The sequence below is a fragment of the Homo sapiens genome, chromosome 14 (assembly GCF_000001405.40).
Source record: "Homo sapiens chromosome 14, GRCh38.p14 Primary Assembly".
Taxonomy (NCBI): Eukaryota; Metazoa; Chordata; class Mammalia; order Primates; family Hominidae; genus Homo; species Homo sapiens.
The window spans coordinates 102,029,794-102,048,105 of record NC_000014.9 but is presented as its reverse complement, the minus strand read 5'-3'; the positions used below and the strand labels follow the sequence as shown (position 1 = coordinate 102,048,105).

At 49.7% G+C, this 18,312-nt stretch overlaps 1 protein-coding gene and 1 long non-coding RNA gene across 2 annotated transcripts in view; one reads left to right on the top strand and one right to left on the bottom strand.

Annotated features, from left to right (window-relative positions):
* DYNC1H1 (dynein cytoplasmic 1 heavy chain 1) overlaps positions 1-18,312 on the bottom strand; it is a 91,871-nt gene that overhangs the window by 8,338 nt on the left and 65,221 nt on the right. The window contains exons 50-73 of the mRNA NM_001376.5: positions 18,168-18,287; positions 17,824-17,944; positions 15,639-15,834; positions 14,924-15,041; positions 14,622-14,837; positions 13,918-14,130; positions 13,654-13,781; positions 11,464-11,617; positions 9,500-9,646; positions 9,258-9,408; positions 8,852-9,105; positions 8,560-8,694; positions 8,374-8,468; positions 7,696-7,870; positions 7,433-7,508; positions 6,372-6,532; positions 5,982-6,093; positions 5,818-5,878; positions 5,599-5,722; positions 5,358-5,471; positions 4,061-4,231; positions 3,615-3,832; positions 3,408-3,511; positions 78-289 (exon numbers count right to left, since the gene is read on the bottom strand). Of these exons, the coding sequence (NP_001367.2) occupies positions 78-289; positions 3,408-3,511; positions 3,615-3,832; positions 4,061-4,231; positions 5,358-5,471; positions 5,599-5,722; positions 5,818-5,878; positions 5,982-6,093; positions 6,372-6,532; positions 7,433-7,508; positions 7,696-7,870; positions 8,374-8,468; positions 8,560-8,694; positions 8,852-9,105; positions 9,258-9,408; positions 9,500-9,646; positions 11,464-11,617; positions 13,654-13,781; positions 13,918-14,130; positions 14,622-14,837; positions 14,924-15,041; positions 15,639-15,834; positions 17,824-17,944; positions 18,168-18,287 (3,576 nt within the window). The remainder of the gene's footprint in view (positions 1-77; positions 290-3,407; positions 3,512-3,614; positions 3,833-4,060; positions 4,232-5,357; positions 5,472-5,598; positions 5,723-5,817; positions 5,879-5,981; positions 6,094-6,371; positions 6,533-7,432; positions 7,509-7,695; positions 7,871-8,373; positions 8,469-8,559; positions 8,695-8,851; positions 9,106-9,257; positions 9,409-9,499; positions 9,647-11,463; positions 11,618-13,653; positions 13,782-13,917; positions 14,131-14,621; positions 14,838-14,923; positions 15,042-15,638; positions 15,835-17,823; positions 17,945-18,167; positions 18,288-18,312) is intronic.
* LOC107984661 (uncharacterized) lies at positions 9,069-11,791 on the top strand. Its single transcript, XR_001750903.2, has 2 exons — positions 9,069-9,150; positions 11,337-11,791. It is a non-coding gene; the product is annotated as an uncharacterized LOC107984661 (long non-coding RNA).

Genomic DNA, 18,312 nt, shown 5'->3' with positions numbered 1-18,312 from the left:
CCATGGAACAATGGTCCATGACCATACCCAGCACCTGGGACCTTGAGACCTGGCCGGCCCGCCACCCTCCCAGCTACCTTGATATTCTCCACGGTGCGCTTGAGGTGGCTCAGCGTCTGGGGGATGAGGTGCAGCCAGTTGGACGCGGTGGTGTGCAGTGTCCGCATCCAGGCAGGGCGCCCGTCGGACGTGGAGTCTGTCCTCGTCTTCTTCTCAGTCTCTGCGTAGGCCAGGTCGTCCTCATCCTCCAACATCTGCATCTTCAGCATTTTACTGATCATGTCCACACCTGGGCCACAGTCCCACAGTCGCAGCAGGAAGGAGGGAGGGGACGGGCAAGAAATCACAGAGGGAAAAGGGACTTGAACGTAAAGGCCACATGGTGAGTGAGTCCACACTGGGAACTGCAGCAAAATCTGGAAGGTGCTCAGCCGTGTGTACATATATATATATATATATATATACACACACACACACACACACACGTGTATATATACATATATGTGTATATATATATACGTATGTGTATGTATATATATATGTGTGTGTGTGTGTATATATATATTTTTGAGATGGAGTCTCGCTCTGTCACCCAGACTGGAGTGCAGTGGCGTGACCTTGGCTCACTGCAACCTCTGCCTCCTGGGTTCAAGTGATTCTCCTGACTCAGGCTCCCAAGTAGCTGGGATTACAGGCATGTGGCACCGCGCCTGGCTAATTTTTTCTTGTATTTTTAGTAGAGACAGGGTTTCACCATGCTGGCCAGGCTGGTCTTGAACTCCTGACCTCAGGTGATCTGCTCGCCTTGGCCTCCCAAAGTGCTGGGATTACAGGCATGAGCCACCATGCCTGGCCAGTCATGTATGTTTTTAAAGCACAGACAATGGCCTGACCAGAAAGCTAAGGAGACAGATACAGAATAAGAATTGTTACCAGGTCGAGAACATGACTGTTAAAACTGACCCAGCAAGACAGCCACAGTGGCTCACGCCCACAGTCCCAGCACCAGCAAGACAGCCACAGTGGCTCACGCCCACAGTCCCAGCACTGTGGGAGGCGGAAGCGGGAGCATCTCTAGAGCTCAGGGGTTCAAGACTAGCCTGGGCAACATAGTGAGACCCTCATCTCTACAAAAAATTAGAAAGGCAGGTGTGGTGGTGGCACCTGTGGTCCCAGCTACTTGGAAGGCTGAGGTGGGGGGATCGCTTGAGCCCAGAAAGCTGAGGCTGCAGTGAGCTCTGATTGCACCACTGCACTCCAGTCTGAGTGACAGAGCAAGACTCAGTCTCAAAGCAAAAAAAAAAAAACGGAACCAGCAGCCCGAGTCCAAAGACTCAAGGAAGGCTCTTCAGGACCCTGGGTTTGGGTTCACTGTGAGACCTGGGCCAAGCCCCGGCCGGCTTTCAGCCCGACCATGAATGAGTGCGTGCTCGAGAGGCGCTCCAGGAGGGGGTGCCACCTGCCCTCTTAACTCAGAAAACTGGTCACCACAGTGTCCCTTGGCCTGTGACTGCCACCATGTGGCTGGGATTACCCCGAGCCTTGTGGTGCCTGCAGTGTGCTCCAGACCCGCCCAGCTCGCCTGGCTCTCCCTCCAGACCCGCCCAGCTCGCCTGGCTTTCCCTCCAGACCCGCCCAGCTCGCCTGGCTTTGGCTTTCCCTCCAGACCCGCCCAGCTCGCCTGGCTTATCCCTCCTGATTCTGTCCTGTTAACCAGCTGTGAGTTTCAGCAATGCCCTTGTCTTCTTAGCTTTTCTTGTCTTCTTAGCTTTTCGTGACTTTTTCCCATAAGAAAAAGTTGAGATTTGATCAGCTGCTGTCAACCCCACGTGTAGTGCTTGGAGGCTTTGTGAAGGCCAGTTGCTGGGCCCATCCCCTGTCCTGATAGAGTGCGCCTGGGCAGGGCCTGGGAACCCGCATTTCTTTTTTTTTTTTTTTGAGACAAAGTCTTGCTCTGTCGCCCAGGCTGGAGTGCAGTGGTGCCATCTCGGCTCACTGCAAGCTCCCCCTCCCGGGTTCACGCCATTCTCCTGCCTCAGCCTCTTGAGTAGCTGGGACTACAGGTGCCCGCCACCACACCCGGCTAATTTTTTTTGTATTTTTAGTAGAGACGGGGTTTCACCGTGTTAGCCAGGATGGTCTCCATCTCCTGACCTTGTGATCCGCCCACCTCGGCCTCCCAAAGTGCTGGGATTACAGGCTTGAGCCACCGTGCCCGGCTGGGAACCTGCATTTCTAAGAAGTTCTGGGGAGGCTGCTGCTGCTGCTGGTTTGGGAGCCACACTATGAGAGCCACTGGCTTAGAGAATTTCTTAGCTCCCTTCTGGCTCACAGCACTTGAAGTCTTAAAAAACATCTTGTAAGTAAGTGAAAAGGAAACAAAGACTGCTAAAAAATTCTAGGGAAGATGAATGGTTTTAAAAAATCACTTAATATCAGGTACTTTTCAACTCTTGAAGAAAAAAAAAAGAAACTGATTTTCTTTTTTCTTTTTTGAGACAGAATCTTGTTCTGTTGCCCAAGCTGGAGTGCAATGGCGCGTTCTCAGCTCACTGAAACCTCTGCCTCCCGGGTTCAAGAGATTCTCCTGCCTCAGCCTCCAGAGTAGCTGGGATTACAGGCACCCACCACCACACCTGGCTAGTTTTTGTATTTTTTGTAGAGATGGGATTTCACCATGTTGGCCAGGCTGGTCTCGAACTCCTGACCTCAGGTGATCCATCCACCTCAGCCTCCCAAAGTGCTGGGATTATAGTGGGATTATAGGCGTGAGCCACTGCGCCCGGCTTTTTTTTTTTTTTTTGAGACAGAGTCTCACTCTGTTGCCCAGGCTAGAGTAGAGTGATGTGATCTCGGCTCACTGCAACCTCCATCTCCCGGGTTCAAATAATTCTCCTGCCTCAGCCTCCTGAGTAGCTGGGATTACAGGTGCCTGCCACCATGCTCACCTAATTTTTGTATTTTTAGTAGAGACGAGGTTTTGCCATGTTGACCAGGCTGGTCTGGAAATCCTAACCTCGAGTGATCTGCCCGCCTTGGCCTCCCAAAGTGCTGGGATTATAGGTGTGAGCCAGTGTGCCCAGCCAGTAACTGCTTTTCAATATGAGATGAACATCTAAATGTTATTTCTAGGCTCATTTACATAAATATCAAGCCTTTTCTCTAGAACTGAGTTGATGCTGCAGAGAAGAGCCAGTTCTTTCCTCTGCCTCCCCTCGGAGTGGAGCTAGGAGCAGCTGGAGACTGGCAGGAAGGCCGAGGCTGACAGAGCCACACCCAGCATAACCAGGGAGGGCCCTGGGACAGCAGTGCACACTCACCCTGCGTGTGGGGACCCTCGCCACCCACCCCGCGTGAGGGGACCCTCGCCACCCACCCTGCGTGTGGGGAGGATCCTTGTTGCCTACCCTGTGTGGTAAGGAGGACTCTCTCGGCGTTGTTGGGCAGGCCCAGCCAGGAGGGCGTCTGGGTGTCGGGGAGCAACTCCACCCACTGCACAAACTCCTCTCGCCTAGAAAACCAGTGCATTTGGAAATGATGTCAGGGGTCACCTCTGAGTGACACCAGACGCCCTGACATCACAACTGTCTCCATTCCAGCAGGCAGCAGCATACCTGATGCCATCTGGCATTTGAATGTCTTTATGTCCGTCGACCTTGCATGCCAGCTTAAACTCACTGTCGAAACTCCTGGTTGTGAACAGGCGCTCCAGGAAGGTGTTGAGCAGACGCTGGTCAAACTCGTTGTCCACGCGCCCGCCATAAATGGACTGGGCCATTAAGGTCTTTAGTGCAGACCACGGGATCTTATCCGGTGAGATGTTCTGCCTGCCCTGGGGGAGGAAAAGCAGGGTTCGTGTGTGTGGTCAGAGGCGGGCAGGCCCGGGGCTTCCTTTCGAGGGGCACAGCTTTCCTCCTCACTCCCCATGGCCAGCTAGGCTTTGGCGGTCACGAGGGGTCAGCTCGCTCTTCCACGCAGAGTCTGGCCTCTCAGCACCACGCCCTGCAGCATCCTTCCCAGATACACGTCCACTGTCTGTCCTGGCATGGCCCACACTTGCCTTGGCCGTGTCATCCAGCCACGTGTCCACCGTATCGCAAGCTGACCGCAGGTCAGACTCTCCAAATTCATACTTCTTTGACCACCCCAGTGGTGCGTATCGTAAGCGTTCTTGGATGATCGCATGAAACCAGGCCAGCAGGAAGTACAAGCGGGCACGCTCGTTGGGAGACTGGTGAGGAAAGTGACCAAGCACAGAGTCATTAGAAAACAGCACTTCGCCAAGAACAGTGCAGATGCCAGGTCAGTCAAAGCTTTACAAAGAGCTCTCCACATCCTGACGATGGCAGCAGATTCACATGAGTACTGCTGCTAGGAGAAAAGTATGCCAACTTTTCTATTAATAGACGTGTCATCCAATGAGACCATCAGAATTTATTCAGCCAGTAAGAAATCTAGAGAAGACAGAGTTTCTAAGAATGTCAGAAAACGTGAATGTGGCACAAAATAGAACAGAATTGACAGAACGAAACCCCTGCCACAATCCCCCTCCTCTCGCCCAAGAGTTTCGGTCTTCACTTGGCGCCTGGGAGGGCTCTGTTTGGTCTTGGGGGCCTGTGCTGGGGGAGAGGAGATTGCCTGCCACCTGGGGACACAACTCTGAGTCCCAGCTTCTCCGTGGGCATCTCTGCTCCTCTGGGACCTCATCACACCCCATAATCAAACATGGCTTTTACTTTTCAACCTGCTCAAAGGAAGGAAATTTTATATAGAGACAGGATCTCACTATGTTGTCCAGACAGGTCTTTTTTTTTTTTTTTTTGAGACGGGGTCTTGCTCTTTCGCCCAGGCTGGAGTGCAGTGATGTGATCTCAGCTCACTGCCAACCTCTGCCTCCTGGGTTCAAGCGATTCTCCTGCCTCAGCCTCCCCAGTAGCTGGGATTATAGGCGCACGCCACCACGCCTGGCTAATTTTTTATATTTTTAGTAGAGACGGAGTTTCACCATGTTGGCCATGCTGGTCTTGAACTCCTGACCTCAAGTGATCTGCCCACCTCAGCCTCCCAAAGTGCAGGGATTACAGGCGTGAGCCACCACTCCTGGCCTGCCCAGACAGTCTTGAACTCCTGGGCTCAAGTGATCCTCCCACCTCGACCTTCCAAAGTGCTAGGATTACCAGTGTGAGCCACGGTGCCCGGCCATGGAAGGAAATTTTACCTACAGCTGAAAAGCAAAAGCAGCTGTGCAGTTCACCACACGGCACTTCCGGGGGCCCAGGGACCCACTTCTGCATTTGGTGATGGGACTGGGCTTTAGCTTCTATGGGGAAAGCATACCAGGAGGACAAGGTACTTACCTTGCATATCCGTGAGACGGGAATGCTGCTGAACGTCCTCAGCATGTTGGCCTTCACCCCTGGCGGTGGCTCGAACACAAAGATGCGGCCCGCACGGAGCAGATTCACAGGCACCTAAGGGAGAGCGCCGTTCCAGTTATGCTCGGGTGTGGATGAGGGCGCCTGTTCAATTCCACCACACACGTGCCGACAGCACAGTGCCAGGCCAGCCTGCAACGTCTCCACTCCTTCAACCACCCACCTTGGGGTTGATCTCCATGGTGAGGAAGAGTCGGAAGCAGGCATGCGGCTGCAGGGAATGCAACTTCTTCTCCAGCTGCATCAGCCACCCTGGGGCCAGATGCACATTCTTCAGCATCACCCACCTGCACACACAAAGTGAGAGTCACACAGCATGCCAGGCTGCCTGCCTGAATGCCTGGGGACTAAGGCTTTCTTCAGCCAAAGAGAACAGGCCTACCTGCCCGACTTTACAGCGGTGTTTATTGCCTTATCTGCTTGGTTAAAGCCTTCTGCAGAGCCTGGTGCAGGGAAACTTAGTGTTAGCAGCGGCAGCCTCGGACATCAATGCCCACCACAAATCCTGCAGGGCTCCAGCCCATGAAGCCCCTCAAGCATCCTTACCGATTGCAATTGAAGTGATCTGCGTGTTCTGCTCGGCTGCAAGGTCCTCGACATGTCCACTGGCATCATAACCAGGCACAGAGCACATTAAGACAGGAGTGTTGGGCTTCACCTGCAAACAAAGAAGGCAGAAGTTATTACAGTGCCAGCAAATAGTGTGTACCTGTCAAGGGAAAGGAGAGCCCCGAGTGAGGGGCCTGAGAAGATGTTCTTTCTGGGCCCAGAGGTGTGGGCACCATGCAGCCAGGAGTTGAGAATCTGCAGCGAGTTCCTGGTCTTAGGAGGAGACTGTAGCCCGGAGTGAGAGCAGATGCCAGGGCTGCTGCCACCTGTGGCTGGGGAGGTGGGCATGGAGTCTCGTGGGAAGCCCGGGCTGTACCAGGACATTACCTCTGTGCCCACAATGTGGGTCAGGTCGAGCGGCTGCTCCATGATGGACATGAAAGACTCCCCAAGGTTTGTTGAAACAAACATGTGGGCCATGGCCAACAGGCGATCGGGCCGGAAAGCCTGGATCAGGAGCAGGCGGTGGATGGCCTGGCCAATGGGTGCTGAAACAGGTACAGAGGGGTGGGTGCTGGGTGGAAGCATGGACTCAGAGACGCCCTCCCCTGCCTGGACTGTTCTTCCCAAAGTACCCACTCAGCAAATGCTCAGCATTTCAGGATCAGCTCAAATCAGGAAATTCAGCCACATCTGCTGTGCCTTCCGTGAGCCCTCTGGACACGCCTGTGAGAACACCTTACTACCTGGATGTATCCATAGGACAAAGGTGCCATTTGCTGATTTTTAGATTACTAAACTAATACCTGCTCACTTCCTGAGAACACCTGAAGGTACTCAGGAAGGGGGCTCCACGCTCTGCCCTCCACAGTCTGACACTTCCTCTCAGCCTGGCTAGCCCAGGGTCTGGCCTAACACACTCAAAAACGGCTGATGGCATTCCATTCCTGTCTGCAGCATGAATACAGCCAGTTAACTCCTTAGCATTAGGCAGGAGTTCCCCATCTAGTTCTCTTGTGGTCTTTAAGCATGAGATGAATAGGAATTGGAAATTTCTGATTTACTTCTAAGCCAACACCTACCTAGAAGCGATCTCCCTAAGTGGTTTCCTTAAAAAGTTTTAACATTGAAATACTTATCTTGGGAATCAGTGACCATTCATTCACAGACAGGCCTCTGTCTGCTGCCCAGGCTGGAGTGCAGTGGTGCAATCACAGCTCACACAACCTCGACCTCCCAGGCTCAAGTGACCTTCCTGCTTTAGCCTCCCGAGTAGATGGGACTACAGGTGTGCACCGCCACGCCTGGCTAAGGTTTTATTTTTTGTAGAGATGGGGCCTTACTATGTTGCCCAGGCTAGTAACTTTGTGTTTTTTGAAAGCATCCCTTTAAGCAGCAAAACCCAACTTTACATTCAGGTCCAGAAAGAAAACCACAGTGGGGCTTACTTGCAGGTGTTTCTTCACTCCAGAGGTAGGGCACAGTCTGCTCCGGGGAGCTGCTGTCCAGCCAGATGCCAAATTGCTGTGGAGACAATAGTGGAAGCACCCATGGAGCAGGGCTGGCCTCTGGGGCAGAACCCACGACTGAGCGAGAGTCTGACGCGAGAGCGCAGACACAACATTCTGGGTTTTATACCACATGCAATTCCTTACATTTCCTGGGAAAAGGCCAACATTTACCTACTGGGAACATTCAAGAGAACAATCACCTCGTCTGCCTGAACCTTTGCAATCAAGTCCTTAAACGCGGGAAGGCAGCTCAGCCTCACCACCGCCTCCGCCTGCTCCACAGTCAGGCCCTGGATCCTGGGGGTGGAGCCAGCACTCAGGACAATCTCATTTCCTCTCAAGAAGTGCTGGAATTCTGCATCGTAGGTGGGCTCCCTGCGAAGGGTGCAACAGGTTAGCTAGGGTCTCTCACGTTCACTCCCACTGTCACTAAGATAACAGCTGTGATTTAAGAAAAGAGAAAACAGGCCGGGCACAGTGGCTCAGGCCTATAATCTCAGCACTCTGGGAGGCCGAGGTGGGCGGATCACTTGAGGTCAGGAGTTTGAGACCAGGCTGGGCTGCCAACATGAAGAAAACCCGTCTCTACTAAAAATACAAAAAAAATTAGCCAGATGTGGTGGCCTGCGCCTATAGTCCTAGCTACTTCGGAGACTGAAGCAGGAGAATTGCTTGAACCTGGGAGGTGGAGGTTGCAGTGAGGTGAGATTACACCACGGCACTCCAGCCTAGGCAACAAAGGGAGACTCCGTCTCAAAAAATAAAATAAAGAAAATAAAAGAGAAAATAAAAGAAATAATAAAAGCATGTATCTGATCATGAAACCCTTGGGGGCCACCAGCAATATGGCATCCTCCTGTGGGCGTGAGTGCTCTTACCCCACGGTGCCCTTCAGTTTGATTCTTGCCAGCAGCATGGCAAAGGTAATGTGGTCCTGATGCAGCATGCCTCGAGCCACTCGGTTAAACGCCACCTGGGACAAGAGCAGGAGACGATGTTGTTCCATAAGAGAAGCAGCACCCTGCTTCCCCCCCGCCAGGGAGCGGCTGAGGACCTCACTCTACCTGGAAGAGGTCCTTTGTTATAATGGACAGGCGCTGTGTGTGGTCGGTGACACCCTTCAGGTTCGGGTTCTCGTATAGGACGTTGTGATAAATGTCCAGGAAAAACTGGAGGGAGTACTGGTACAAGAAGTGTATCTGAAAGGAAGCAGTGGGCAGCGGTGAGGCAGCTCCCTCGGCACCCCGCTGAACTTCTGCGTGGCCAAGGAGCTACTGTGCAGGGCCCGCCAGCCTCTGTGCGGCCAAGGAGCTACTGTGCGGGGCCCGCCAGTCTCTGCATGGCCAAGGCACCCACCTGCTTGAGGGACTCCATGGTGAAGTAGATGCTGCTGCAGGCGGTGGAGAGCGGGAGGTACTGCTGGGACACGGTCTCCACCTCCTGCATGACAATGTCCGTCTCCTCAACTTTCCTGGTGACCTCTGCAGCCTCTCTCTTCAGGTTCTCCAGAGTGGTTATGATCGTGTCGTCATCCAAAATGCGCCCTTTCACCTCGTTCAGAGCTTGTAGTAGAGATTTTTCCAGCTGACGCAAACGGAGCTGAAATTCCCCTTAAATGAATAAAACATCCAGAGTTTGCAATAATCCTTCAAAAGGTATGCTCTCAGAAGTGTTTGCCACAAACGTGGAACATCCTAGTCACTTAAAAGTTCAGCCCCTTCCCCTGCACCAACCATCTAAAAGCCACAGGTCCAGATCCTACCTTGAAGTTTAAGAAGATCAGATCGTTTCTCGTCCACATCAGGTCTTTCTGCTTTAAGTACTTCATTTAGACACTGGCTTTGTAAACTGCTACGGGTAACTGTGAAGTTTACAAAAGTAACCCGGGAACAGAGATCTGGTGGGAACTCGACCTGCCAAAATAGGTAACAGAACAGTCTGTCTTAATCCAGTTTCAAAACCACATCCTGCCAGATTTCCCTGGGGAAGGGTCCCATTCCTTACAGTTGGATCCCGGGTGGACAGGAAGATGACAAACGATGGCGACAGGTCTATGTCCTGGTCCCCGAGAGTGATCAGCACTCTCCCCCCTGTTCGCCGCACTTCACGGTTCAGCACCGGGTTCAAAACTGGATCGTAGCTTTCCACATCCTGCATTCCACACGGGTGGAACTTGATGGTCAGGGCTTTGTAACTTTATCTTCACCCAAATGCTATGTTGCTGTCCTACTCTGGATAAGCATACCTTCCCAAAAGCCACCCGCCACTTGCGTGTGGTGGCCACTAGCTATGTGTGGCTACTTACATTTAAATGAACTAAAATTAAAAACTCAGCCAGATGCGGTGGCTCACGCCTGTAATTCCAGCACTTTGGGAGGCTGAGGCAGGCAGATCACTTGAGGTCAGGAGTTCGAGACCAGACTGGCCAACATGGTGAAACTCCATCTCTACTAAAAATACGAAAGTTAGCTGGGGGTGTATGGCACATGCCTGTAGTCCCAGCTACCTGGGAGGCTGAGACAGAATTGCTTGAACCTGGGAGGTTCAGACTGGGGGACAGAGCAACACTCTGTCTCAAAAAAACATAAAATAAAAAATTAAAACTCAGTTCCTAGTCACACTAGCCATGGGAAGTGCTCAGTAGCCCCCAAGGCTAGTGGCTACCACACTGGACAGTGTGGACCATAAGGCATTCCTGCCCCTGCAGAAAGTTCTGGGGACAGTGCTGACACAGACCCTTGGAATGGCATTTTATTTCATTTCTTAAAAATTTTTTTCCATTTGCATAATGAATTCATCTCGTTGCAAATCTGATGCTTCCTAGTGACCTTACATGCTTTATTTAAAAACACATTTTTAACTTTTAAGTTCAGAAATACAAGTGCAGGTTTGTTACATAGGTAAACTTGTCATGGGGTTTACTGTACAAATTATTTCATCACCCTGGTTATAAGCCTAAACCTCCATGCTCTGAAAGGTCCCAGTGTGTGTTGTTCCTCTGTGTGTCCATGTGTTCTCATCATTTAGCTCCCACTTCTAAGTGAGAACATCTGGTACTTGGTTTTCTGCTCCTGCATGAGTTTGCTGAGGATAATGGCCTCCAGCTCCATCCATGTTCCTGCAAAGGAACATGTTCCTTGTTCTTGTTTCTTGAACATTTTTCTTGTTCTTTTTTTTTTTTTTTTTTGAGATGGAGTCTCGCTCTGTCACCCAGGCTGGAGTGCAGTGGCACAAACTCGGTTCACTACAGCCTCCGCCTCCCAGGTTCAAGCAATTTTCCTGCCTCAGCCTCCCGAGTAGCTGGGACTACAGGTGTGCATCGCCACACCCGGCTAATTTTTGTATTTTAAATAGAGACGGGCTTTCACCATGTTGGCCAGGGTGGTCTTGATCTCCTGACCTTGTGATCTGCCTGCCTTGGCCTCCCAAAGTGCTGGGATTACAGGCATAAGCCACCACGCCTGGCTGTTTCTTGCTTTTTATGGCTGTACTGAATATAATTTTTTTTTTTTTTAAGATACAGTCTCTTTCTGTCTCCCAGGCTGGAGTGCAGTGGCATGATCTCGGCTCACTGCAACCTCCGCCTCCCGGGTTCAAGTGATTCTCCTGCCTCAGCCTCCCGAGTAGCTGGGACTACAGGTGCCAGCCACCTCAACCAGCTAATTTTTGTATTTTTTGTAGAGATGGGGTTTAGCCAGGCTTTTCTTGAATTCCTGACCTTAGATGATCCACCCGCCTCGGCCTCCCAAAGTGCTGAGATTACAGGTGTGAGCCACCTCGCCCGACCACTGAATAGAATTTTAAATGCAAATAATGATTCTGTTGAATTTATCTATTACAGAACCACCGCAAAGCTTTATCCTTCTGATACAAAATGAAGTCTTACAAAGTTGAAAACTAAAGGCAGCCCCCAAAAAGGAATTCACTCTTGAATGCAGTGTTTCAAGAATTCAAAGGCCAACACCAACCTGGACCAGAAGGGGGTTACCGAATCTCAGTGCACTCTCTAAGTTCTTTCTGAAGGCGTCATCCAGGAAGCTGGTCCGTGTGATCTTACGATCCTTATATTCATTCATAATGAATTCTGTGGCCTGTCCAGAGGGGTCAATGATCAGCGGATACCTGAGGATGAGGCCACAGAAGAGAAGGTTGAAACACCGAATGGGGAAAGCACAGGATCACGGTTAGCCGAGTCCCTGATGAGAGACCCTGATTGATAGGCTGTTACCACCACCCGAGAGTGGTTTCCGGAGACGTTTTCAGGTTTACCAATAAAGCTTACATGCTTAATGCTAACATCACCTCATCCTTTTGAACAACTATTGGCATGAGGAGGTAGCTTGAGTCATACACCAAGAGGGCCATAGTTAAAAATCTTTTTCCTTCTGGGACAATCATCCTCTCAGCATCCTGCACTGTTAGAATAGCTTTTTCATGTTTACGATCCTTCTAGACAGCACGTATCAACATCAATGATGTCGCAGCAGCAAGGGATTAACATTATACAGAATTTTAATTGCCAAGGACCGTGTCAAATTACAGACACTACGTCACGTAATCCTCATAACAGCCCTATGAGGCTGACACTGTTATCGAACCATTCTACAAATGAGGAAAGGACACAAATAAGCTAATGTGATCTACCTACGGTCTAGCCAGTTAAAACGTTAAAAAAAAACCCAACTGGTAATATACACACAAGCTTTTACAAAACTCAACTATAAAAGGGCATATGGTGAGAAGAACCATGCTGCCCTGCCTTTCTGACCCTATTCTTTGGTCACCAAAGTCCCTTGCCCAGGTGATGGCTTTTACCAGTTTTTCGCCTGTCTTTACAGAGAAGGTCTAAGCATTTACAGACACATGTGTCAGTGTGGGAGTTGTGGCCTCGTGGGAGGCCTCTACTGTCCGCTCTGCACCTGTCCAGCCTGTATTCGAATGTCCTGTGTTGGCAAAGACTACCCAGCACCACGGCGTGGTGGGCCCTCAGGAGGGCCATCTGAGTTATCTCCAGTCTTCAGCTGGTACACACTTGGTACCTACACACATTCTGTACCTAGGCCAGGCTACTGTTGAATGAACACCTAGAAGTGGAACTCCTAGGTCAAAGGGTCATTTAGGCAAATCCAGCCCTGCGCACAGGCTGTACTGATTGATTCATACTCTTGCTGGCACCACCCGGTGAGACGTGGAACCCTCTCGGCACCTAGCCCATCTTCACTGCAGTTACATCCCATTTCTTATTCTGTCTTTCCTAAGCAGAAAAACAGGTAGTACTTCCCCTTTAACTAGCTATTTTCAGTTCTTGTAACAGAGGACTGTTTGTTTGAATGTCCACCCCCAAACACAACCCTGCCAATCCACTTTATTTTTATTTTTTTGAGACGGAGTCTTGTGCTGTCGCCCGGGCTGGAGTGCAGTGGCACCATCTTGGCTTGCTGCAACCTCTGCCTCCCGGGTTCAAGCGATTCTCCTGCCTCAGCCTCCTGAGTAGCTGGGATTACAGGCGCCTGCCACCACGCCCAGCTAATTTTCTGTGTTTTTAATAGATATAGGGTTTCACTATGTTGGCTAGGCTGGTCTCAAACTCCTGACTTCGTGATCTGCCCACCTCGGCCTCCCAAAGTGCTGGGATTACAGGTGTGAGCCACTGTGCCCGGCCTATTTTTATGTTTTTTTTTTTTTGAGATGGATTCTCACTCTGTTGCCCAGGCTGGGGTGCAGTGGCGTGATCTCGGCTCACCGCAACCTCTGCCTCCTGGGTTCAAGAGATTTTCCTGTCTCAGCCTCCTGAGTAACTGGGATTACAGGCGCATGCCACCACGCCTGGCTAATTTTTTTGTATTTTTAGTAGAGACAGGATTTCACCATGTTGGCCAGGCTGGTCTCAAACTCCTGACCTCACGTGATCCACTGTGCCTGGCCCCTGCCAATCGATTTTAGAAGGTTACAAGAAGCATTCACTGCAGAATAACTCAGACACTTGACAATAACGAGAACAGCACACGCCCCACCATCAGAGGAGCACCAAGCTGCCAGCACTGTATGCCCACGCCCCATTTTCTATTCCTCTCTTCAAACAAGGGTGTATTTTGAAAAAAATTCAAGATCACCACCCACATTCCTCCCATGCCTCTCCTTGGCACCCGAGCTCATACCTATTGAATCGTTTCAGCATGATGGCATTTTCTGTGCAAAGGTCATCAGCAGGCAAGGAGCTGGCCTGCCAGCGAAGACGCTCATCAGCATTGGAAAGGTATTCCGTCCTGGCAATATCTGTACGGAACTGAAAGGCAAGGCCGTTACCTTTCCTCCTCTTCACAGCCACAGATGGGACTGTTCTCAAGACTCTAACTGTGCACTAAACACCAGCTTGCCTCACACTGCTCGCACATCCTTTTTGAACTCCCCGTGATTCTCACCTGGATGTTGGCTTGCTGTAGGTGATGGGACCAGGTAGTGAACAAGTTCTGACGCATCTGCTGGTCAAAGTAACCCGCGTAGGCAATGAACGCAGCTGACAAGAGACAGTCCCCAGCAATGGTGGACATCTGGTTTTTGAAAGTTTCACTTGTTTTTTCCCATCGTTCACGTTCAGCAGACAAGCTCTTCAGAAGAGCAGTGCTCCGGTTTACCTAAAAGGAAAACCGAACAAGATGCTCAGGGATGAGGCCTTTCAGGATTTATACCGAATCCTGCAAATCGGTTCATCCACATTATGTGCAGGGTTTTGGGTGGGTTAGAAACGTGCCCAAGTTGTTCACAGTCCCAGAGGAGATGAGACCCAGATCATATATAACTAATGACCACACACGACTCAGAATCTCAGCGGGGCAGAAGCTGGGTACGGAGCGAGGCCCTCAGGCAGCAGAGCAAACAGGTCTGGAGCTGCTGGTGGGGGATTCAACGGCTGAAAAGTGTCCAGTTTGTATCAATCTATCCTAATTAACAACACTTAGTGACTACTCAGTGTGTATTATTTTCCAGGAAAAAAGTCCTCCGGGGCCTTACAGATGTTAAAGAGCGAATTCACCGAGGCCAGCATGGTGCATGCAGCGCATGTTGAAGTGTGTTAATCTCTGCTTCCACAGCAGGAAAGGCTGAGGATCAATGATGATAATCTTACTTTTGCCTCGACAGCTGCCAGGTCTGCCTTGATGGCCTGGGCCTCTGAGATCAGGACGGCGTATTCCTCCTTGTAGCGGGCGATGCTGGCTTCCAGGTCTCGGATCATCTGCTCCACCTCGTTGGCCTTCTGCTGGTTGTCCTTGGCGTCATCTTCCAGCTTCTGCAGCTCATTGCGTAGGGGCTCCACTCTCTTTAACATGTCTGCATAGTTAAGCTGGGAAGAACCAATTGATAACTGTTATTTAAGTGACAGGAAAAGAGGTCACCTTTCACACGGGAGCTCCTGGCTGTGTTAATCACCTGTGCAATTGCCCATTTCACCATAGGGCCGCAAGCCAGGGAAGCCCGATTCACAATTTCATAATTGTAACTTGGATTGGACATGTAATTTTTCTTCATCTTCTCCCTTATGGCGTCACTGTAAAAGACGAATGATATTTCTAAACACATGCAGGACAAAAGCAAGGAAGAGTTTTCATAAAATTAAAATGGAAGAGACCAGAGCCAGCTCCCATCTCATTGCCCCAGTGACTGACCACTGGGGATGAGCTAGACTGACCCTTGGTTCTCAGGTGAAAGCTGAAAATGTGCTCAACACTTGAACAATTTTTTTCTTTCTTCTTTTTTAATGAGACAGGGTTTTTCTCTGTCACCCAGGCTGGAGTGCGGTGGTGTGATCTCGGTTCACTGAAGCCTTGATCCCCTGGGTTCAGGCAATCCTCCCACCTCAGCCTCCCAAGTAGCTAGGACTACAGGCGCATGCCACCCCGCCCAGCTCATTTTTGTATTTTTTTGTAGAGACAGGGTGTCGCCATGTAGCCCAGGTTGGTCTCTAACTCCTAGGCTCAAGCACTTCACCTGCCTCAGCCTCCCAAAGTTCTGGGATTGGAGCCGTGAGCCACTGTGCCTGGCCTGAACAGCCGAAAGTTCTGGGATTGGAGGCGTGAGCCACCGTGCCTGGCCTGAACAACTGATTTCAATTTCTGGCAATACCTTGGCACTTCCACTTTCTCACCTGATCTCCTCTGCAGAGAAGTTGACGATGGTGGGGATGAAGTTCTCCCGCATGATGATGGAGCGGATCTGCTTCCAGTCTGTGGTGCTTTCCCCCAGCAGCAGGCAGATGGACTCCAGCGCCAGCTTCACAGCAGCAGGAGGGTTGGCCATGGACCTCACCTCCACCAGGTGCTGCTTCTTGATCGACTTCACAGCTGAGTGGCAGCAGGAGTGGATGAGGGTCGATGGGTGGGAGAAGATAGAGCAAAGCATGGTGAGAATGAACCAAAACAGCCAGGAGCTCCAACTCCAATGAGAGAAAGGACAGCTAGCTGCTTAGAAGAGCTAAGAAATGAGAGACTTTTCTGTATTAAACCCTCTGGAATAGGGTAAGTAGCTGATCTCTTAAATGATTATGAAGATCTTACAAAATGCTAGCATTCCTTAAAAAGCAGGATATTACCTTTAAAATGTCTCACAAGTCCTAATTTCTTTATCCCCATAAAGATTAAGAATATATTTACTATTTATTTGAGACTGAGTCTAGCTCTGTCGCCTAGGCTGGAGTGCAGTGGTGCGATCTCAGCTCACTGCAACCTCTGCCTCCCAGGTTCTAGTGATTCTCCTGCCTCAGCCTCCTGAGCAGCTGGGATTACAGGTATGCACCACCACGCCCAGCTAATTTCCTATTTTTAGTAGAGACGGGGTTTCTCCATGTTGGTCAGGCTGGTCTTGAACTCCCGACCTCAGGTGATCCACCCGCCCCTGCCTCCCAAAGTGCTGGGATTACAGGCGTGAGCCACTGCGCCTGGCCAAAAATATTTTAAAAAAATATTTTACAAAATATTTTAAGTGCAATTGTGCATTTATTTTATATAATTTCAACAGACATTTTAAATTTGCTACAATTTAGAGGGATGCGTAAAGACGTGGAGTTAACAGTTCTAAAACAATGGCTGCCAGGCACAGTGGCTCACACATCTTAGTACTTCTGGAGGCTGAGGCAGGTGGATCGCTTGAGCCCAGCAGTTTGAAACCAGCCTGGGCAATATGGCAAAACCCTGACTCCACAAAAAATACAAAAATTAGCTGGGTGTGGCGGCGCGCACCTATAGTTCCAGCTACTCAGGAGGCTCAGGTGGGAGGATCATCTGAAACAGGGAAGGCTGAGGCTACAGTGAGCCATGGTTGCACCACTACACTCCAGCCTGGGGGACAGAGTGAGACCCTGTCTCAAACAAAGCAAAACAAAAACAATGGCCAATGACTTCTATACACTAAAATAGTTTTCTAGGCTGAAATTTTTGTAAAACAATTTTAAGTAATATTTAGAAGGTGAGAACTACATTAAATTATCATCCAAATCCAACTCTGAATGAAAATATATAGGTTGAGTGGTGCATTTGAATTCATCTTGTTGTATAAGGTAAAAACTACAGATAATTGGGTTATTTGAAACAGGTTAAATACAGTGGGCAAGAAGAAAGCACTCTTTTTTTTCTTTTGTTTTCATTTATTCATTTATTTTAAAATAGAGATGGGGGTCTAGCTATGTTGCCCAGGCTGGTCACAAACTCCTAAGTTCAAATGGTCCTCCTGCCTCAAATGATCCTCCTGCCTCGGCCTCCCAAAGTGCTGGGATTAGTGCGAGCCACCTCGCCTGGCTGAGAGCAGTCTTACTCACTGTGTAAATTGCAAACTAAAACAGGATGGCAGGTTGTTGCCCTATTTCTATAGCATCTTATAGGCATGTAAGGAATGGAAAAAGAGAAGTGACTGCTATCAATACTTAAATTAGCAATTGGGTCATAGCTAGAACACTCAGAAACAATTACAAGACAGTTACACTGAATATTTTATATTTCTGGGTGAAATTCAAGTCAGGGATTGATAAATAGCATACTTACGTAATTATCAACAGATCTCTAAAAACGTATATTGACACAAAGCTTATATTGTGAAGTTTCTTTTATGAGAGGGGTTTCACTATGGTAAATACAATCTAGCTTTGTAGGAACTTTGCTTTGAGAGATGAAGACAATCTCAAGCATTCAGAAAAAGCTTCAGATGGTTACTAATGATATTTTTGGAAACCAGAACCTTTGAGGGAAGCATATGTGCAATGTTCAGTGACCTGAACTCCACAGTAATGTTGACGGAGACCACCCTTCCTAGACATCAAAGCTCTGACAGTCTTTACATACCATTCTGGGCCTCAATGACGGCAGGTTCCACCTTATCAAGATCTTCTTTGACACTCATCTGTTTGTCTGCAATTACCTCCTGCTGCTTATGCAGCTGTTCCTGGATTTCTTGGCTCATAACCTAGAAAGGAGGGATGGCTTAGGTATGGGTTAAGCATTGGTTAATTTGCTGACTAAATTCTAAACAACATTCTTCACTCTGCCAACACACACACACACACACACTCTCTCTCCCTCCCTCCCTCTCTCTAACCCTAAGACCCATTTGGAACTACATTTCCTACTCTCTCATTGGAGACTGAAAATGCTCAGTCCTTACAGGCCAGAATTCCCTGACACCATACCTTCTTCTTTTCAGCCTCCTGCTGGTCTTTCACCATCTTTTTCAGCTTGTCATTGGCTGCTGCATTCTTCACCTCCAGCTCTTGGCTCTTTATCCTCAAGTCACGACGCAGTTCTTCTACCTAAAGAGCAAAGCCCACACTCAGA